The sequence below is a fragment of the Homo sapiens genome, chromosome 14, assembly GCF_000001405.40.
Source record: "Homo sapiens chromosome 14, GRCh38.p14 Primary Assembly".
Classification (NCBI taxonomy): Eukaryota; Metazoa; Chordata; class Mammalia; order Primates; family Hominidae; genus Homo; species Homo sapiens.
The window spans coordinates 24,569,943-24,576,652 of record NC_000014.9 but is presented as its reverse complement, the minus strand read 5'-3'; the positions used below and the strand labels follow the sequence as shown (position 1 = coordinate 24,576,652).

General features: G+C 45.6%; 1 protein-coding gene across 2 annotated transcripts; it reads left to right on the top strand.

Annotated features, from left to right (window-relative positions):
* Positions 1-402: 402 nt before the first annotated feature.
* On the top strand, positions 403-3,135 carry CTSG (cathepsin G). 2 transcript variants are annotated; one of them, NM_001911.3, is made up of 5 exons: positions 403-484; positions 1,241-1,388; positions 1,843-1,978; positions 2,154-2,408; positions 2,843-3,135. In NM_001911.3, exons 1-5 carry the CDS (start codon positions 430-432, stop codon positions 3,014-3,016), a joined length of 768 nt encoding a protein of 255 aa, NP_001902.1. In that variant the 5' UTR covers positions 403-429; the 3' UTR covers positions 3,017-3,135. The 2 variants fall into 2 exon arrangements, with proteins under 2 accessions (NP_001902.1, XP_011534801.1); XM_011536499.2 differs by having other exon boundaries at positions 1,199-1,388.
* Positions 3,136-6,710: the final 3,575 nt, after the last annotated feature.

The following is a 6,710-nucleotide window of genomic DNA, read 5'->3' as shown; positions in this document are numbered from 1 at the left end:
AGGAGAAACCCAGAAATTCAAAAGCAATAATGATCTAATCCCAGAGGAGTAGAAAACAGGAAGTGGGCAGCTGCCAGCTTTCTTGCTTTGCTGGAGTATTCTGGAATTTGATGGGTTGAGGGTTCTGGACACAATGCCCCAAGCCCCTTCCTTGTTGTGCTGGGTTCCTATTTCTGCTCTCGGCACTGACTTAGCAGCTGCTCAAGAGCTCACTATGTTGGCTTGGATTACACGGTCTCACCCACATCTCCGGCAGTTTGTGGGCAAACTTCCTGAGCAGCCTTGGGTGATGAAACCTTTCATGGTAGCAGGAGAATGGGACTGTGAATTCTCAATCCCCTGTCCCCACCCCTTCCTTCCTCTCTCAGGGCCTTAAAGTCTAGGAGGAGGAAGCACAGCAGCAACTGACTGGGCAGCCTTTCAGGAAAGATGCAGCCACTCCTGCTTCTGCTGGCCTTTCTCCTACCCACTGGGGCTGAGGCAGGTGAGTGACCATCCCCACCCTCAGAGGCCTGACCTCATCCCATAGATTCTTGAGCCAAATTGCCTTGGTATATCCTAATTCTGTACTGTTGAGCAAGTTATTTGAATTTGTGTTTCCTCATCTATAAAATGAGAATAATATTAATACCGATCTTGCAGAGTTGCCATGAGAGTTAAATAAGTTAGAGTATTTAAATGTCTTGGAATTGCCCGCACACTATAAGTGCTATAAAAACATGCTTTGTGTAAATAATTTGGCAGCATGTGTCAGACCCTACCTAGGAGGTAAGAATACAGCAATAACAGTACCATCAGCTCATGTCTAGATTTTTAAACACCAGTCCCACGTGGTCTTGAATTGGACTCAGAGGGCTCTGGGAAGCTCCATGAGGATAAAAGTATAAGGGAACTTCAGGAACAATCCTGTACTTACAGCAAAGCATTCTCCTCAATACCTGAGGCTGAAGCTGGCCTTGCCTGGAACAAGGGTTGTTCTCCCTCTTTTGGAGAGGAGGAGGGAGGTGAGGCCTAGGATGGGGAAAAGGGCTCCTTTCAAGACAGCAGTGTTTCCTGTAGAACCCTGGAGCCCCCTCCCAATCTGCTGCCCCATAGACTCCAAGCCTCAGCACCATCTCCTCCCTCTCCTGCACCCTCTCTCCTGCCGTCCCCATCTTCCAGCCTTTCTGGAGCCACCAATCTGGTACCCACATTGCAGGTTCAGCAAGCATAGAGCTAAGTGCCAAATGCTTCCTTCCAGGGGAGATCATCGGAGGCCGGGAGAGCAGGCCCCACTCCCGCCCCTACATGGCGTATCTTCAGATCCAGAGTCCAGCAGGTCAGAGCAGATGTGGAGGGTTCCTGGTGCGAGAAGACTTTGTGCTGACAGCAGCTCATTGCTGGGGAAGGTGAGGAGCTAAGGAACTTCCTGGCCAGCCAGGAACACAGCCCTGCGGAGCTCTTCGGTGGAAGAGCCATCTGAAAGAAGAGTTGTAGCAATGAAAGGGTGAAAGAAAGACCAAGTGAGTCTTTGCGGGAGGGAACAGGCCAGTGTAAATGAGGAGGAAAGGAGGATAAGATCAAAAAGAGCAAGAGGAAGAGATGGAAGACACATATTGGGGCTCAAAATATAAACTCAGGCTATTTATCAACTTAATCTGGGGAAGCAAACCTGAAGGCAAGTACCACCCTGTCATCCCTAGCTCAGAGCTGCTGAGAAAGAGGATACAGCTGAGCCCCAGGGCCCTCCCATCCCCTCGATTCTGGTTAGCTGCAGTCTTGCCCTCCCCGTGCTGTCTGCCTACCCTGCAGAGCTGGTGGACCATAGCTCCTGCAGCCCAGACCTACCTCTTGCTTTTGCAGCAATATAAATGTCACCCTGGGCGCCCACAATATCCAGAGACGGGAAAACACCCAGCAACACATCACTGCGCGCAGAGCCATCCGCCACCCTCAATATAATCAGCGGACCATCCAGAATGACATCATGTTATTGCAGGTACCACCTACCTGGCCCTCTGGCTCCTTCCTAGTGTGTCCGGGGACAATGGAGGAGGAAGTGAGGGCAAGGCTCCGGGGTGGCGGGGAGGGCATGGGATGTGTACTGCACCAGCGACCCCCGAGCCTTGGCTGGAGGCCCCAGCTGAGCGGGAACGCCTACATTCTTCCTCCAGCTGAGCAGAAGAGTCAGACGGAATCGAAACGTGAACCCAGTGGCTCTGCCTAGAGCCCAGGAGGGACTGAGACCCGGGACGCTGTGCACTGTGGCCGGCTGGGGCAGGGTCAGCATGAGGAGGGGAACAGATACACTCCGAGAGGTGCAGCTGAGAGTGCAGAGGGATAGGCAGTGCCTCCGCATCTTCGGTTCCTACGACCCCCGAAGGCAGATTTGTGTGGGGGACCGGCGGGAACGGAAGGCTGCCTTCAAGGTAAGGCATGGGCATTGGCCAACACACCCCGGGAGAGAGGGGCCCGTGCAGAGCCAGGCAGTGCGAACAGATTCCATCCCCACAGCCTCAGCCTGGCAGCCAGACCAGGGTGGGCTGGGGATTGTTTTCCCCATCAACCTGGTCTCTGGGGGAATAGGAGGAAGACCCACAACACATACATAGGCAACATTCTCCTGGAGAAGGGAGAGGTACCTTGACTCAGATTGGGCTGGAGACAGTAATTAAGGCAGAGCTGAAGTCCAGCGACCGAAAAGATCCAGAGGCTTGGCTCCTGTACCCCACCGATCTTCCATCTCACACACACCCAGCAATTGAAGGGGCCCACCCACCCCTGCCTTCCCTGAGAGCCCGGAGCTCAGGGAAGCAGGAGCAGGGAGGCCTGTCTCAGTCTCCCTTCTCCTCTCTACCTACAGGGGGATTCCGGAGGCCCCCTGCTGTGTAACAATGTGGCCCACGGCATCGTCTCCTATGGAAAGTCGTCAGGGGTTCCTCCAGAAGTCTTCACCAGGGTCTCAAGTTTCCTGCCCTGGATAAGGACAACAATGAGAAGCTTCAAACTGCTGGATCAGATGGAGACCCCCCTGTGACTGACTCTTCTTCTCGGGGACACAGGCCAGCTCCACAGTGTTGCCAGAGCCTTAATAAACGTCCACAGAGTATAAATAACCAATTCCTCATTTGTTCATTAAACGTCATTCAGTACTTAGTTTGTTTGGATTGCTACAACAAAATAGCACAAATTGGGTGGCTTATAAATAACAAATTTATTTCTCACAGGTCTAGAGGCTAAGAAGTCTAAGATCAAGTCACTAGCAGATTCAGTGTCTAATTAGGGCCCATTTTCTGGTTCACAGACAACCATCCTCTCCCTGTGTCCACATATGGCAAAAGGGGCAAGGGAATTCTCTGATGTCTCTTTTACAAGGGACCTAGTCTCATTCAAAGAGCTCAGCTTTTACGACCTAATCACATCCCAAAGGCCCCACCTAATGCCATCACATTGGGGATTAGGTCTGGGAAACATAGGGAAACACTGTCTCTACACAAAAATTTTAAAATTAGCCAGGCATGGTGGCATGTGTCTATAGTCCCAGCTACTTGGGAGGCTAAAGTGGAAGGATTAGTTGAACCCACGAGGTTGAGGCTTCAGTGAACCATGCACTCCAGCCTGAGCGACAGAGCAAGACACCATTCCAAGAAAGAAAAAAAAAAAGACTGGCAGGCCAAAAAGACAGAACTGAAATTCCAAAAAAAAAGACCTACTTTAGTGTATGAAAAAGGTGGCATCTCAAATCACTGGGAAACAATGGATTTTTAATAAATAGCATTAGAACAACTAGATAGATATTTGGAGGGGATGGAAGCTATAATTGGATCCATTCCTCACACCATACTTCAAAATAAACCTCAAATGGATCACAGATCTAAATGCAAAAACATTAAACCATACAAGCACTAGAATAAAGAAAAATTAAAGAGATTTTGCTTCTTTAAAAATAGCTAACAAACACCCATGTTAGTAACAGCATTAATCACAATAGCCAAGGATGGAAGAACCATAGCGTCCATCACCAGCCCGCATGCTTGTCCTAAACCTTGTGAAAGAAAATAGAATCTCAGGACCCAAACTTCACTATTCCAAAGGGAAAGTTAAGCTTGGGAACTGACCCATGGGGGGAAAAAAACTGCTTTCTATTTATTTCCAAACAGCTATAATCCACAATCCTGTGGCATCACCTCATTTCCTCTACTTGCTTTTCCACATGTTTACTTTATCTTGTGTAAGATGTAGATTTACTGAGGCTAATCAGAACCTCACAAGAACATAACCATCTGCCTGAAGTCCTACTCTCTCTCCCATTTTTACCTTCCTGCTTGCTCTTTCCCCTTTAAATACTGAAGTTCCTAAAACCCTTTAGGGAAAAGCACAGGTCATAGATGCTCCTGTGGCTTGTATTTTTTCCCCAGGTGCATCTTCAACCTTGGCTAAATAAACTTCTGTTAGATTGAGACCTATCTCAGTCACTTTGTGGTTTATAGCCCTTCCTTGCGCTATACCAACCCCACTGTACTTATAAGCCAGCATTTTCCTCACCAATGTGATGAAGATCTGTCTGAGAACTTTTGATACTCTGAAGGTATATAAAACACCTCACAAAATGTTGACCTAAATAACAATACATTTGCCCTGAAGATTAGCCCATGACTGTCTACATCAATATTATATTCAAACAAAAGATTACTGAAATCACATAATTTAAAATTAAGCTTTAAACACCTGCTGAAAGTAACTACACAGAATCAGTCAGGAGGTTTTCCTAGGTAAGTAGAAATGTTAATTACTCCTTTCAGTGTGACATTTACCATCTGAACTTTTGCAGTTTTCCTAATCTTAAATGAAATAATCCCTGAACAGACATTTTATCAAATCCAACAGGCTATATACAGAAATGCTTTGATGAATTTGACCATTATTTTATGTGTATCTCTTATCAGAAAGTTATTTGTCTAATATTCAGTGTAAGCCATTTATCAACAAAATTTTAATCAATAATACATCTTTAACAATCCTCAGTCATTCTCTCTGTATTTACTAACTGCCTACCCATAAGAATTATCTATTACTGGCATGCTCTGGGGGATAACAGTCTCATTATTAAATGTTTGCACTGACAAATGGAAAGAATACTTGCTAGTAGAAAAGTCCCCCATTCAGCCCTTCCTCCCTGTGGCATTTACTTAGGGCCTCAGAGCACTGCCCAGTCTCAGGACTCAGTCCCCAGGAAGCCCCGAGGGCATTCATCTCATCTTCAGGTCTTTCTCTGCCAGTCAGCACTTCCAAGGCAGCTCTTTGTCTCTGCTGCCCTACTGAAAAGGTCTCTACAGACCCCAGGGTACTCACCTCCAGAAGGTGACCATCCCAGAAGCCAGATCCACCACTTCTAACAAATCTGCACTCTTCCCTGTTGAGTAAACCTCATCAGCAGAACTTTGGCAAGAAAGCATTTTGCACAATGAAAACCAGTGCAAAAGAACACAATTCTTTCTTTTTCCACGTGCAGACTTTGTGCGTTAGAAGCCTTATCAACTTGAATGGAAAGTCATAAAATTATGGTAAGCTCAGGCACAGAAACCTCACTGGGAACTTCTCCCCCAACCCAACAGCTAAGGCAAAAAGGAGAAGGATTGGGTCAGGTGATGATATTTCAGAAAGAGAAAGTCTTTCTCCTCTTTCTCTCTCTCTCTCTCTCACACACACACACACACACACACACACACACACGCACCCATTCACCCACACTAAGCCATTTTCCTTTTCAAACAACCAAAGGCCAGAGAAGGGGGAGCAGAGAAGAAAGAGTCTGTGTAGATGGAAAATCTGAAGATTCTGAGTTGAGCTCTGCCTCTTCCCGTTCCATGTGGAGCCTTCAGAGGCCCTACCTGCAAGGCCAGGACTGTGTCTGACATGTACATGTAAATGAGAAACCTCTCTCTACTCCAGAATCTCAAGTGTTGCTCCACAAGATTCTGCAGTTGCCTGAAACTGCTACTCAACAGTACAAAGAAGGTCATGGATGACTAGATTCATCAGGGATATTGGTCTGTAGTTTTCTTTTTTGTTGTATCTTTGTCTAGTTTTGGTATCAGGGTGACACTGGCCTCATCGAATGAGTTAGGAAGAATTCCCTACTCCTTGATTTTTTGGTATAGTTTCAGGAAGATTTGTATTAGTTCTTTGTTTGGTAGAATTCAGCTGGTCTTGGGTTTTTTTTGCTGGAATATTTTTATTACTAATTTAATCTCACTACTCACTATTGATCTGTTCAGGAGTTTTATTTCTTCCTGGTTCAATCTCAGGAGATGTTTTCAGTAATTTATCCATTTCCTCTAGGTCTTCTAGTTTGTAAGTATATAATTGTTCATAATAGTCTCTGATGATCTTTGTATTTCTGTGGCATGTTTTAATGTCTCTTTTTCATTTCTGATTGTGTTTATTTGGATTTTCTCTTCTTGGTAAGTCTAGCTAGTGGTTTGTCAATATTGTTTATCTTTTTGAAGAACCAATTTTTTGTTTCATTGGTCCTCTGTAAACTTTTGTTGGTCTCTATTACATTTAGTTCTCCTCTGATCTTTGTTATTTCTGTTATTCTTTTTAATTCTGGGTTTGGTTTGTTCTTGCTTTTCTAGTTCCTTGTCAAACTAGCATTTCTAGTTTGCATTGTTAGGTTGCTTATTTTCAATATTTCTACTTTTTGATGTAGGTATTTAATGCTATAAAAT